Source organism: Homo sapiens, chromosome 12 (assembly GCF_000001405.40).
Source record: "Homo sapiens chromosome 12, GRCh38.p14 Primary Assembly".
Classification (NCBI taxonomy): domain Eukaryota; kingdom Metazoa; phylum Chordata; class Mammalia; order Primates; family Hominidae; genus Homo; species Homo sapiens.
The window spans coordinates 52722767-52737155 of NC_000012.12; the positions used below are offsets into that span (position 1 = coordinate 52722767).

The 14389-nt window shown below is 49.0% G+C and overlaps 2 pseudogenes; one reads left to right on the forward strand and one right to left on the reverse strand.

The window, feature by feature from the left end:
* On the forward strand, positions 7604 to 10296 carry LOC400036 (DEAD-box helicase 23 pseudogene; annotated as a pseudogene).
* On the reverse strand, positions 12521 to 13205 carry KRT125P (keratin 125, pseudogene; annotated as a pseudogene).

Below are 14389 nucleotides of genomic sequence, written 5' to 3' on the forward strand. Positions count from 1 at the left end.
CCAGTAAAATTTCAGAATAACAAGGGCTTCTTCTTAAGTCTGTTAGGGGCATAATATTTGGAAGAAGTTCTGTGTGACATGAAATGTTACTCACTTTTGTAACATTTACCTCTACTTACCTTTGGCAGCAAAGACTACCTTTGATGACACCAATCCTGACAGCACAAACCAAGGCTGGAAATGAGCCTCTGCAAAGGCCAGCCCCTTTTAAAATGACCTTTGCCTTTTCCTCTTCTAATCTAACCTCCAATTCCCTCTGATCCGTGCTCATCCAAGAACCCTTCTCTCATTGATCTCACCTTCTCCCCTTTGCTCAGACCTGACTTCCTAGCCACTCAGCACCTCCTTCTTCCCTTGCCAGCTCACTGGAGGGAGGGCCAGTTCAAACCAGTGACCTGCCAAACCTCAGGGAAGCCCCTATTCCTCTCCATCAAGTCACGAAAGACCCTCAAGTAAAGTGGAAGAGAATGAACTCGGTGGAGAGAGAGAGAAGCAAAACACACCATAAATTCACACCAACACACACACACACACACACACACACACACACAAACAGACATCACAGAACCACAGGCATGCCCACAAGGATGGACACGCTCATCACAAATCCCTGCCCAGGGCACTCTTCCCCATGCAGCCCTTCGTGCCACAGGTAGACATCGTCCTCACCACCTTCAAAACCTTGGTGCCTACCCCATCCCCCAGGGCCCTGATTCTTGCTCAAAGCTCCTTGCTGACCTAAGAAACCAAGATATGGCAGCTGGATCCAAATAGGGGCACAGACTGAGAGGAGACCCAGGTCCCAACTCAACTCAGCCACTGAGTCTTCCCCTTGCCAGGCCTCAGTTTCCTCCTCTGCACAATGAGGGCTTCAGACTTGAGTAGAGGATTCACGTTGGACCTACTGAAGCCCCAGGGTTCAAATGAGGTATGAGTGGGAGAAAGGGATGCAGTGGGCAGTGTTCTGGTCTCATCACCACTGCCACCCTGACACCTCCATGCTGATCTCTGAAATGAAAGACTCTGCTGTTTAAAAACAATTTGGAAACTCCTGGGCCCATTGCCCTCTGGATCACTTCCCGTGCTGATGGTGGGGCTCAGCAACATAACATAAAACCGCTGTCTTTGCTCACATATGGGGCGGATCCTGACTCCAAAATCCAAGTCATGTTTTGGTTTCCAAGTGTGGCCTATGCTTTTGTCAAGAGAGGCCCCAGGAGCAAATGAGAAAAGGTGTCCCACCATCCTCCTGTCCCCCACTTGCCATTTGTAAATCCTTGCTATTGAAGGGGAACTCTGCAGAACAATTCACTGGTTTCCACCCCTTGGCCACTGCCAATGACCTGGCCCAGTCTGAATACGCAAAGAAGTCAGTTTGCATTTTAACATCAAGAACAAATCCCAAAGAGATTAGGGTGGAAGTTGGGGCTCTAATGAGGACCCATCCCAAATCCCTTCATTAGCAGTGGCAAATCCCACCAATCCCCCACACCTGCAAACTAGAAAAGTCCAGCTATTCTCCTCTGTTGCCTCTTCAAAAAAATTAGAGTGCACTGCTAGCCAGGGAGTCGCCAACCCTAGAATTAAACCATACGGGCCTTTCCTGGGGATGAGGGCACAGAGGCCCCAGGAGAGACACTGAGCCCTGCCCTCCCTCCTCTCCGTGGCCATGGCTATGCCTCCCAGGCTGGCACCTGACCGAGGCCCCTCTGCTCTGGGGCAGCAGTGCCCTCACCAGTGGAGTCCAAGGGCAGAGGAACAACCGCATCTGCCATTGTTCCTGCCATGAGGCAGTCCCAGCTTCTCAGGGAAATGGGGCCCTCAAATGCAGCACCCAGGGCTGAGGCCAGAGCTTGACAGTACATGGCATGGCAGTTGGCAGATGATGCTGGGCCAGGGAGGGCAAGTGGGGAGAGCAGAGTTGGGACAGAGTTGTGTGTGTGGGAGGCTTCAAGGGGAGCACATGGATGGGGCCCTGGGGCAGATTGGGCATGAGCCAGGAGGAGTTCAGCTCTGGTTCCCTGGGCAGACTGTCCCACTCTGTGCCCTGCAGTCAAAGGGGAATCTGTTCCATAAGAAATTGTTGGTTTTGTTTTGTTTTGTTTAAATGGAGTCTCACTCTATCACCCCGGCTAGAGTGCAGTGGTGTGATCTCCGCTCACTACAACCTCTGCCTCCTGGGTTCAATTGATTCTCTTGCCTAGGCCTCCCAAGTAGCTGGGACTACAGGCAGCCACCACCATGCCTGGCTAATTTTTGTAATTTTGTAGAGATGGGATTTCGCCATATTGGCCAGGCTAGTCTCAAACTCCTGACCTCGGTTATCCACCTGCCTTGGCCTCCCAAAGCGCTGGGATTAGAGGTGTGAACCACCGGGCCTGGCCAGAAACTGTTCTTCAATACCAGGTGACCTCTGAGCTGAGTCTCATTGAAGAGGGCCAGCCTCATGGCATCTGAAACTTAGGAAAAAAGGTCTTGGGCCAGGCAGCTGCAGCTCGAAACTTGGCCCAGCCCAGAAGGAGAAGGCCCAGGGAGTGAGGCAGCCTCTTCAATGTGCGCAGACCTACCTACCCCAGGAGGCGGGCAGAACAATGCCATGGAAAGCACCCTGGATAAAGGCAAGAGCCCCAAGTTCCAGTCTCCAGGCTCCTCTGGGCCTCCTTTTAGCCCATTGTAAAGTAGAGCTGATAAACCTCTTCTCTGCCTGTTGAGCCTCTACTCCTGAGCCCATCAAGGGCCAGGTGAGTGAAGTACAAAAAGGGCCTTATAAACTAGAAAGCAGGAGCGCCTTGGGAACTGAGGGATCACAGCGGCAGCAGGGAGTCAGGCCGTAGAATGCTAGCCAGGTAGCAGGCTCTAAATTGACACTTATAGACTTTTTCAACCTTCATGGCAACCCTCTAGCTCTTTTTTTACAGATGAGGGAAACTGAGGCTAAGGAGTTAAACAACTTTTCCAGGGGCCCACAGCCAATAAGTGGCAGAGCCAAGCCTCCAGTTCAGTTTCTGTCCCAGCCTGGAGCACATGCTACGGACTGAGGCATATACGACTCAGAGCTCTGGAAAGGCTCCTTGTGCAGGCACTGGCAGGATGTTCTGTGTCTGTCCCTTCCTTCTGTGTCTGTAAGTTCTCAGCTTACAGAACAAGCCCTGACTCTGAGCAATTGACCTGTATTTGATCATGTTTGCAAAGTGGTGTGGAATTGATAGAAAAGGCACAAACAGGACTCCGTGCTTCTCTAAGCATAGTCCTTAGAAGGGCACTTTGCATGGTTTTCCCAGCAAAGGGGATGGTTTGTGCTGCCCCAGCTTGCTCCTTCCTCAGCAGGATCAAGGGTGTGATTATGCAAGCTGATGGGCCAGGAGAGGGCCACAGTCTAGACCTAAAACCATTTCCCTTCCACCCTAAGCCAACTCATTTAGGAACCAGCCAAAGTCCCAGCCCCAACACGATGCCTCATATGACCAGCCTGGCCCCCTGAGCTCTCCTGGCCTCAAGCTCCTGGGACACTCATTGTCCCTATGGTGTCTATAAGTCAAAGAAAAATATCCTTACTTCTCAACCAGTGTAGAAGCCATGGGAGGGCAGGCCCCATACCCGGCACATACACCCACCCAGCTCCCAGCCAAACTTATACAATTCAGAAAGTTCTTGGTTCCTAAAAAAGCCAAGCCATAGCCTCACACGTGTACATGACACTTAATAGTATCTGGCATTTGTGGAGTGTCTTGAACTTGTTAAAGTCCTTTCATTTATCTACCCTGACAGACCAATGGGCAAACATGCCACACACAGACACACACCCTCTGTGACTCACAGACAAAATACTTTCATACAACCTGTAGCCCCAAATGAAAATGACAAAAGCATTAAGCATGAAGTAGGTTTAAAACTGATGCAGTCAGAAAGTAGAAGCCATCTCAACCCAACCACTGGCTCTGGTTTCTGCCAAGAAGCATGAAAATTGGAGCAGGGATCTAGAGTCAGGCATAATGGGTGCTCCTGCGTTCTGTTCAGAGAATCCAAGAAGGAGTGTCCAGAAGGGTTTCCCCTAGAACTTCATTCCCTCTAAGAGATGCAACATTGACCAGTATCCATTTAGTCATCTCTCCAAACATTTATTCAATCACTCAGCAATGATTCGTGGAGCACTTGCTTGTGTCAGCAGAAGGCTTCCCAGTAGAAGACAATGACACACAAAATACAGTTCATGGTCTGGGGGAGCCTACAGTTTTGTTGAAGGAAGTACCAGGCATGTAAATAACACCTTAGAGCACATTGGAGTCAGCGTTATTGACAGTAGATCAAAGTACTAAGGTGTGAGAGGAAGAAAGGCTATTGAAGGCATCATAGAGGAGGTAATTTTGAGTAGCGTACTGAGGGAGGGGTCGGAGTGGGCCCAGTGGGTGGACAATTCAAAAAAGACACCACTGGTAGAGAGAGGGAAATCTAATGTGGTGGGGGAAGTATTGGTAAGGCATCCCACATGTTCAGTATAGGCGTCATAATGGAGGAGGAGAGATGATGGGGAAGGAGCTGAAGGTGTAGGTTGAAACTGATTGCATTGGTCTCTTTGTGCTATGCTGCAGATTTGGGACTTTGCTCTGTGGGCAGCTACACATCAGGACCACTGGGCAGCTTTTAAAAATCCAGATCCTGAAGCCCTACTTCTGGTCTCCTGAATCAGAATCAGGGAGCATGGCCCGGGCACCTGGATTTTTTTAAAGCTCCAGTTTGCTTTAATTCTGATGGACTAATTCCCAGAATGTAAGCAATTTTACTAAAGGAGAAAATGTCCCCATTTTTATAAAAGGCTAGGGGAAGGGTAAGAGAGAGTCACTTGTCTTCACACAGGACATAGAGTTGGATCTAGTCCAAGGGCTGAGCCAAGCACTCAGCTCTAGATACAGGTACAAATGCTGCTGATTGGGAAGCGCCACTTACCAATCAGCAGGGACTCCAAGGGGCAGGCACCTTTGGAGCACATCATTAAGAACATGAAAAGGCAGGGAGAGGTGGGAGGGATAGCATTAGGAGATATACCTAATGTTAAATAACGAGTTAATGGGTGCAGCACGCCAACATGGCACATGTATATATATGTAACTAACCTGCACGTTGTGCACATGTACCCTAAAACTTAAAGTATAATAAAAATAAAAAATAAAAAATAAATAAAAAGAAATTCTACATATATACATTTAAAAAAAAAAAGAACATGAAAAGGCAAACCGCAGACTGGGACAAAATTTATATTTGCAACACATATGCCTGAAGGGTCTCAGAAAGATTACAATGAGCCAGGGAAGCCAGACACAAAGGAGTACATTCTACATGATGGCATTCCTATGAAGCCCTAAACACAGCAAAACTAACCTATAGTGACATAAAGCAAGCCTCAGCCTGGTGCTGGGGATTGGCAGGGGATTGACTGCAAAGGGGCATGAAGAGCATTTTGGAAGATATTCTATATTTTGGTTGCAGTTGTGGTCACGCAGGGATTTACATTTGTCAAAACTCATGGAACTGTACTCTGAAAATGGGTGCATTGTTACTGTATACAAATTATGTCTCAATGAAGTTTTTTAAAAGGGGACAAGAAAAAGAGACAGGAAGGACAGGATACACATGTTCAAGACAGCATGAGCTCTGAGCTGTTCTTTGGAATAGCTGTTCCTGGGAATAGGATTTGTATGTCCTGCATTTGTGTGTCCCGATATACACTAGACTGTAAGTTCCTTAAGGGGGCATCCATGTTATAGTCATCTCTGTGGCCACCGCCCCCATGGTACATGGGCCAGATTGGTGCTAGATGAAATTTGAATAAATGTATGAGTGAAACTAGAGTAGGCAAACTCACCCAGGAACAATATGCAACATGAAAAGAACAGAGCAAAAAAGAAAGAACCCAGGGAAACACCTATTTTTTAATATTTTTCAATATTTTTCATTTTATTTTTAACTATAGAATATTTCAATCATACTGAAAACAATAGAGCAAACACCTGTGTGTTCACCACCAAGATTAAGTAGATTTATATGTCTTTTCATGTTTTAAATGAAATGTTATAAAACCCCCAGTGTGAAAGGCCAAAGAGTAGAGATTTTAGAAGAAATCAGAGAATGTCTCCATGGCCTTGAGAGCATAGAGCAGGATTCTTAAACAGGACACAAAAACACCACAAGAAAGAAAAATATGATGAATTAGAAGAAGTAAATTTTGAATAAGTAATTCTGCTTGTCAAGTAGCTTAATTAAGAGAGTGCAAATATCCCCCCCAGAGTGGGAGAAGATATTCATAATTTACGCATCTGACAAAGGACTCATATCCAGAACATATAAAGAACCGCTATAAATTAGTAAGAAAAAGACAGACAACCCCACCGATAGAAAAATGTTCAAAAGACGGGACCAAAGAGGTATCCAAATGGGCAATACACATGTGAAAATGAGCTCTACGTCATTAGCCACTATGGGACATGCAAATTAAAACCACAAAGATACATAACAGTCCCCATCCAGAAAAGCTAAAATTCAAAAGAAAGAAAATAGCTAGTGTCAGTAAGAACTGCCCTGCCTTCCTGGAGCTACTTTGGGAACTGTCTGGAGTATCTACTACAGCTGAACGTATGCATACCCTATGAACAGCAACGCCACTGCTGGGTACACACAAAGACACGGAGTGCATACGTGATTCCCCAAGGGCCATGTACGAGAATGCTCAGAGCAGCTTTGTTCCTAATAGCCTAAAGCAATCTCCTCGTACTGGGCGTGGACCTCAGCAATGATACTCTCCAGGTCCAGGTGCCAATTGTTGTCCAGGGAGAGGATGACGGACATGTCATTTGATTCCGACAGTAGTTGGTTATACTCCTGCAGACACAAAGACAATTCTGCTTACATCTAATGGACAGGCCCCTACCACAAACCCCCAAAGTTAGCTTTTTAGTGATGCCACTAAAAAACACGATGACCAAGATGCAGGCCGAAATCTCAGCCAGCAGGCTAAAGAATGAAAAGGCGTCTGTCTTCTAATCCTACTGCAGGATGCATGCATCTCTTTGTCCAGGTACCTTGGATTGGGGAGGAGACTCTAAGAATGTTATCCATAGGCACTGGCAATCATAGATGTGGGGGACACAGAAAAGGGGGAAGAAAAAAGAAAGGGAGTTAGAATATTTGATAGATAAATAGTTTCAAAGGTCTCAGAATCTGAGTAGATGGTGTGGTAATAAATGTGAAGGAAAAAAAGCAATGAATGAAAAAAAAATAGGGCTTAAGAGAATCACTCATATCTTAAACATATATTGGGAAGGAAGGGGGCCTTACAGCCTCAGAGAGGGGCTGCAGGAAGTTGATCTCATCCATCAGGCTCTCCACTTTCACCTCCAGGTCCACTTTGGCCACCTGGGGAGGGAGAACACCAGAACAGCAATTGGCATATTTTCATTTGCTTAAAGCCTGTACTGGTCCATAATTACAGCAGACCAGTGATGGGCATATTCTCATTTGCTTAAAGCCTATACTTGTCCGTAATGGTTATGAAGGGAAGTGGAAACCACTTTTACCCTGGTCATTAAACTTAGGTTAAGAGTGGCTTGAGGATGGCGACAGCTCCACGACGTTGAGGCCGCATTGGGCAGTTCAGACTCCGGGTGATGACAGGAGAGTTGGCTGACAAAAAGGACCATGATGCATCACCTTCCAAGGAGGAAAGGAAGCGATCATGGACTCCTGACAGAGAGCAAGATAGAGACCAGAACTGGAAGTCTTCCCCATCTAAAGATAGGAAGCAGCATTATTCAAGGAACAGACATCGAGGAGGCAGCCATTCTTGCTTTCGTTCTCGTTCCAAATCTGCAGAAAAAGAACAACGGCACGAAGAACAAGAATGAGATAAGGAGAGGGATTGGAATAAGAAGGACCAATATCAAGACAATGATGGGCACAGATGGGACAAGGACCAGAAACGATCCAGTTTCTCCTGGCCGAGGAAAAGACTTTAAATCTCGGAAGGATGGAGACTCTAAGAAGGATGAAGAGGATGAACATGGTGATAAGAAGCCTAAGGCCCAGCTGTTATCCCTGGAGGAACTTCTGGCCAAGAAAAAGGCTAAGGAAGAAGCTGAGGTTAAGCCCAAGTTCCTCTCCAAAGCAGAACAAGAGGCTGAAGCTCTAAAGCAACGGCAGCAGGAGGTGGAAGAGCAGCAGAGGATGCTTGTAGAGGAGAGGAAGAAAAGGAAACAGTTCCAAGACTTGGGCAGGAAGATGTTGGAAGATTCTCAGTAATGGGAACATAGGGAACACAGGGAGAGGATGGAGCCAGAGACCAGTGGAAATGAGGATGAGAAAGGGCAGCAGAAGATACGGGAAGAGAAGGATAAGAGCAAAGAACTGCATGCCATTAAGGAGCATTACCTGGGTGGCATCAAAAAGCGGCACCAAACAAGACATCTCAATGACCGAAAGTTTGTTTTTGAGGGGGATGCATCTGAGGATACATCCATTGACTACAACCCCCTGTACAAAGAACGGCACCAGGTGCAGTTGTTAGGGCAAGGTTTCATTACAGGCATTGACCTCAAGAGCAGTCACGTTTCTGTGGAGACCTAATGGAAAAGAGGCGAACCCTGAAAGAAAAGGAGCAGGAGGAGGCAAGACTCTGCAAACTTCATAAGAAGGAAGCCAAGTGCGCTGGGATGATCGTCATTGGTCTCAGAAAAAGTTAGATGAGATGACGGACAGGGACTGGTGGCTCTTCCGTGAGGGCTACAGCATCACCACCAAAGGTGGCAAGATCCCCAATCCCATCCGATCCTGGAAAGAGTCTTCTCTGCTGCCACACATCTTGGAGGTCATTGATAAGTGTGGCTACAAGGAATCAACACCTATCCAGCGTCAGGCAATTCCCTTTGGGCTACAGAATCGTGACATCATTGGTGTGGCTGAGACTGGCCGCAGCAAGACAACAGCCTTCCTCATCCCACTGCTAGTCTAGATCACCACACTTCCCAAAATTGACAGGATCGAAGAGTCAGACTAAGGCCCTTATGCCATCATCCTGGCTCCCACCCATGAGTTGGCTCAACAGATTGAGGAAGAGACCGTCAAGTTTGGGAAGCTGCTAGATATCCAACTGTGGCTGTCATTGGTGGCATCTCCAGAGAAGACTGGGGCTTCAGGCTGCTCATGGGTTGTGAGATTGTGATCGCCACCCCTGGGCATTTGATTGATGTGCTGGAGAATCGCTACCTGGTGCTGAGCTGCTGTACCTACGTGGTTCTGGATGAGGCAGATAGGATGATTGACGTGGGCTTCGAGCCAGATGTCCAGAAGATCCTGGAGCACATGCCTGTCAGCAATCAGAAGCCAGACACGATGAGTCTGAGGACCCTGAGAAGATGCTGGCCAACTTTGAGTCAGGAAAACGTTAAGTACCATCAAAGTCATGTTCATGGCCACCAAGCCCCCAGCAGTGGAGTGTCTGGCCAGGAGCTATCTTCGGCGACCTGCTGTGGTGTACCTTGACCCCGCAGGCAAGCCCCATGAGCGTGTGGAACAGGTCTTCCTCATGTCAGAGTCAGAAAAGAGGAAAAAGCTGCTGGAAATCTTGAAGCAAGGCTTTGACCCAGCCATCACTATTTTTGTCAACCAGAAGAAGGGCTGCGACGTGTTGGCCAAATCCCTGGAGAAGATGGGGTACAATGCCTGTACACTGCACGGTGGAAAAGGCCAGGAGCAGCGAGAGTTTGCATTGTCCAACCTCAAGCCTGGGGCCAAGGATGTCTTGGTGACTACAGATGTGGCTGGTCATGGTATTGACATCCAAGATGTGTCTATGGTTGTCAACTATGATATGGCCAAAAATATTGACGATTACATCCACCGCATTGGCCGCATGGGACAAGCAGGCAAGAGTGGGGTGGCCATCACCTTCCTCACAAAAGAGGACTCTGCAGTTTTCTACGAGCTGAAGCAAGCCATCCTGGAAAGCCCAGTGTCTTCCTGTCCCCCCAAACTAGCCAATCACCCAGATGCCCAGCATAAGCCAGGCACCATCCTCACCAAGAAGCGCCGGGGAGAGACCATCTTTGCCTGACACAGCATTCTTCCTGTTCACTGAGGGCATTTCCAAAGCTGCCTCATGCCTGTTCTTCAGAACCCTCACATCCCTTTTTCCAGGTCCTCACTCTTGGGTTATGGAGGCTTAGGAAAACAATCCGACTCCCTAGCCCAGACCCTCAGGTCGGGAAGCCTGCATGTGGGGCTGCAAAAGGAGAAGACGATGCTGTAGGAGGCAGGGAGAGCAAATTACCACAGCTTTTTGGCCCAGCTCTGCCCTTCTTTGCTTTGGGATTGCACTGGGCCATAAGCTCATGCCAGGCTATGGGGGCAGCCAGTTGGCATTGCTCCCCAGACTGAACAGAAACCTGGCTGTCTGATGGGACCTCCTTTGGCACAGACTTGACTGTGTAAGTGTATAAACTGCAGCAGCATCGTTGCCCTAGATGCCCCAGGAGACCTGGCACCATGAGGATTATGGACAGTGGAATCTTACTGTCATCTGGACAGCCGTTTTCCTGTTTGGATGGTAAAGGAAGTTGAGAACCTTTAGACCTGTGCACAGCCCTGCACCAAGGAGTGCTGTGTGCTCTAGGCATCCCTTCCCCAGGGGATTTTCTAAGTAGATGGGGGGACAGGGTGAACTGACTGTGTCCTTTGTCACTGAATGAAATCTCTGTTTTCTATTCTCTGAGAAGATGTTTGTATGTTCTGAGAATAAATATATGAATATTTTTAAAAAGTGACTTGAAAATGAGATGCAGGAATTAAAGAGAGTTCTTACGTATGACACTAATGCCTCATCGCAGCAGGAAAGTGGCATTATATTCCAAAGAGCTCAAAGCAATTTGGCAACTGATGAGCCCTTATAAGCTCTGGAAGCCCTCAGACACAGGAGCCAATAAAAAAGATGGCAGAATTTCTGCCTTTGAAAGAGATAGATGAGACACCAGTGATGGAGGACCTGTAAGTGTTCATGTGACCCTGGGGCATGTTCTCCCGGGAAGTCTCTCAGTCTCAGGGAGAGCCTCCATATCTCTCTGTCTCTTCATCACTTTTTGCCCCCATCACCCAGGACCCTCTGGCACTGATCTAATCATGAAGGAAGCAGAGTGTGACATTTGAGAAGTGACCAGGCTGGCAGCATTGACAAAGTCCTGGAACGTTGGGAAGTCTCATAGGCACGATGGGAATTTGGCTGACCCCTGAGGAGCACTGTTCAACCTGGCTTTGGCAGCTGTAGCCCCAATCCCAGTCCCCATCCAGCCCCCATCCTTGCTCACCTACTTGAGAAGCACCAAGTCCTTCTCAGCTGCTGCACGCTTGCTCCGCTCTTCACAGTACCTGCAAGAGGAACAGCGTGGGTCAGCTGCAGCTGTACCAGAGGGCTGTACTAGGAGAGGTCCCTGGCCAGTCCAGCTCAGGGGTGAGCCAAGCAGAAATCTCTCTGAGTCATAGGGATCCATGAAGCCCTGAGTCCTCCCAGCCCTTCTCAGCACTGGCATAAATGTTCAGGATGTTGGTGATGGAGGTAAAAGCGTGAGAGCTTGTCCTCCTCCAAGCCCAGCTACACTGCATGGAATGCAGTCTCCATTCTCCCACCTGCTCCTCATGCTCCCATATGGCTCCCCATCTCCCACACTGAGGCCTGGGCCCCTCCCACAGCCCTGGAGTCTTTCAGTGTTCCTCAGTCAGCACTGAAGTTAATGTCCCTTCCAGTCCCACAGGGTGGGAACCCCCAGAGAGCACCCCTGAGCTTCTCTTTCCCGGGCCCCTCACTCAGTCCAGGCCCTACACCACAGCCACGATGACTGAGGGCCCCACTCTTCTGCCTCTGCCACACTAATGCAGTCAGCTACCCCAGCCACAGGGCCCTATGGGAACAACCGGCCCCATGAGCTCCACATGTACAGCTATAGCCCCAGCACCAAGCACAGGGCCAGCACAGAGTAGACATTTAATACCTTTCATTATTATGTCCTTCGTAGTTCATGTCATTCAGTAATAATAAAACCAGCATTATTAACAAGCTATTTGGTTGATGAGCCTTTCATTAGTATTAACTAATTAATTAATAAGGTGTCACTATTTGCCAGGCACTGTTTGAACAGCATATATTAAATTATTTAGCTGTCAAACAAACTTTTAAGGTAGGTACAGTTATCACCCCCGTGTTACAAATGAAGAAACTGAGGCACAGATTGGTTAAATAAATTACCTATGATTGTGCAGTTAGAAAGAGACATAGTCAAGCTTAAACTCGGGCAGTCTGGCTGCAGAGCTTTTGCTCATACAGACAGTGCTGCATGGCAGGTCCACCAATGAGCCCCGTCAAGTGCTTTCCTTATCCATATTGCCCCAGCTCCTTGTTGATGCCCACAGAGGCCAGATGACCTTCACGTTCTGGGCACCTGAGCCTCACCACCGGGTGCACTGCCTCTCACCTCCTCTTGTATGCCTCCCCGAGCGCCTGCATGGTGCCCAGCTCCCCCTCCAGCCGACCCCGCTCCATCAGTAGCTTGTCAAGGTGAGCCTGGAGGCAGCCAATGTAGGATTCAAAGAAGGGCTGCAGGTCATTGGAGGTGGCCATTTGCTCCTACAGGAAGCATCACTTGGTCTCCAGCACCTTGTTCTGCTGCTCCAGCAACCGTACCTGTGATCAACCATGGAGGAGAGGGTTATGCTCTGTCCAGTCCCTGGCTCAGGAGCAGACCTGGTCTCCAAATCCAGGCCTCCCATGCCTGGGATCCCAGGGGGTCTCAGGGCCTCTGACCCTCTCCAACCTCAGACACTCACCTTGTCAATGAAAGAGGAAAATTTGTTGTTGAGGGTCTTGATCTGTTCCTTCTCTTGGGTCTTCACCTCAATCTAGGCGTCAGTCCCCATGTTCAGGGGCTACCAGAGGCTCTGGTTGATGGTCACCTCCTGGATGCCAAAGGGAAAGGCCCCCAAACCTCCAAAGCCTGAGGCTCCTCAAGGCTGTCCTCCAAAGCCACCAGGTCTCCCTCCAATGCTGAAGGAGCTTCCTCCAAAGCCACTTTTCATTCCCCTTCCTTCAGCCCCACACAGACTGCTTCCCAAGGTGCCCCAGCACCCCTGTGCCCTGCCCCCAGCACCCCTGTGCCCTGCCCCCAGCACCCCTGTGACCTGCCCCCAGCCTGGGCGGCACCTCCAGCAACCCTCAGTGAGATCTTTCTCCCTGCAAAGCTGTACAGACTCCTGCTGCCAAAGGTGCCCCCTGTCACGGCATAGGCCGCAGCAGCACTGCCTCCCCCAGAACATGAGGCTGACGGATCTGATGGCACCACCATGGCTCTAGCCAGACACCAGGATGGCAGAGTGGCCACTCAAGCCCTGGGTGGCCTGGGAGGTCCTGCTGGACTGCTGGCTCATCATTTTCTCTGGATGCAGGAAGATGTCCTGGTTCAGAAAACCTGAGGAAAGAGCACTTTCTGATGCAAGGAGAGAGGTGGCCCTTTTTATAAGTCCCAGTGGATTGGCTCACTAATTTGACAATTTCCTGAGCTTGATTTTCTAGCCAAAACAGGTCAATGCCTCAAATCCCAAACACATCTTGGTCCTAACCCTGGAGCCACCAGTTGCTTTGATTTTTCTCTGACATTGGCCTCATTTTTCCTTCACCAGATCCAAGGCAGAAAAACACTTAGGCTCCCTACAATGGATGGGCTGCTTCCTACTGGAACCTAGCCCCAAACATCAGGGCATTTGCTGTAATTAGGTGATTTTCCATGCTCCTCCTGTCTCCGGTGACCTGAGTCATTAACTTCTGCCAGTCAGATCCCAGCTCTTAAAACATAAAATATTCACAGGAGACCTTGTCTCAGTTAATTGTGCAGTGTGGTCCTGAAAGAAAGCCCTTCAGCTCTCCCGGGAACCACATCCACTGCGGTGGGGTCCTCGGGATGCAGGGGCCATCAAGAGTCTCTAAGGTAATGTTTTCCCTTTTTGTCCTGAGGAAGTGACTCTCCTTACCTCTGGACAGTGCCTAGCCTGCAAGAACAGGACTCTCTGCCCTGCAGGGGCTTTACCTGCAATCATCTCATGCCTGGGTAGTTCAGAGTAAAGCCTAACTCCCGCCCAGACCATCAAATGAATGCACTGTACGTTCTAGGCTGCTCCTCTCTGCAGCTCGTCGTCCTGGCATCTCCAGCTATCAGCAGAGAGGGTAGCTCCTCTCTGCAGCTGGTCCTCCTTCATCTCTCCATCCTCTGTGTCCTTTCCCCTGCTCTGGCTGTGCCCTGGGCTTTTATGGACCTCAGAGGGGAGGAAGTGTGTGCTGATTGGTCCATGGGCTGCCCCAAGGAGG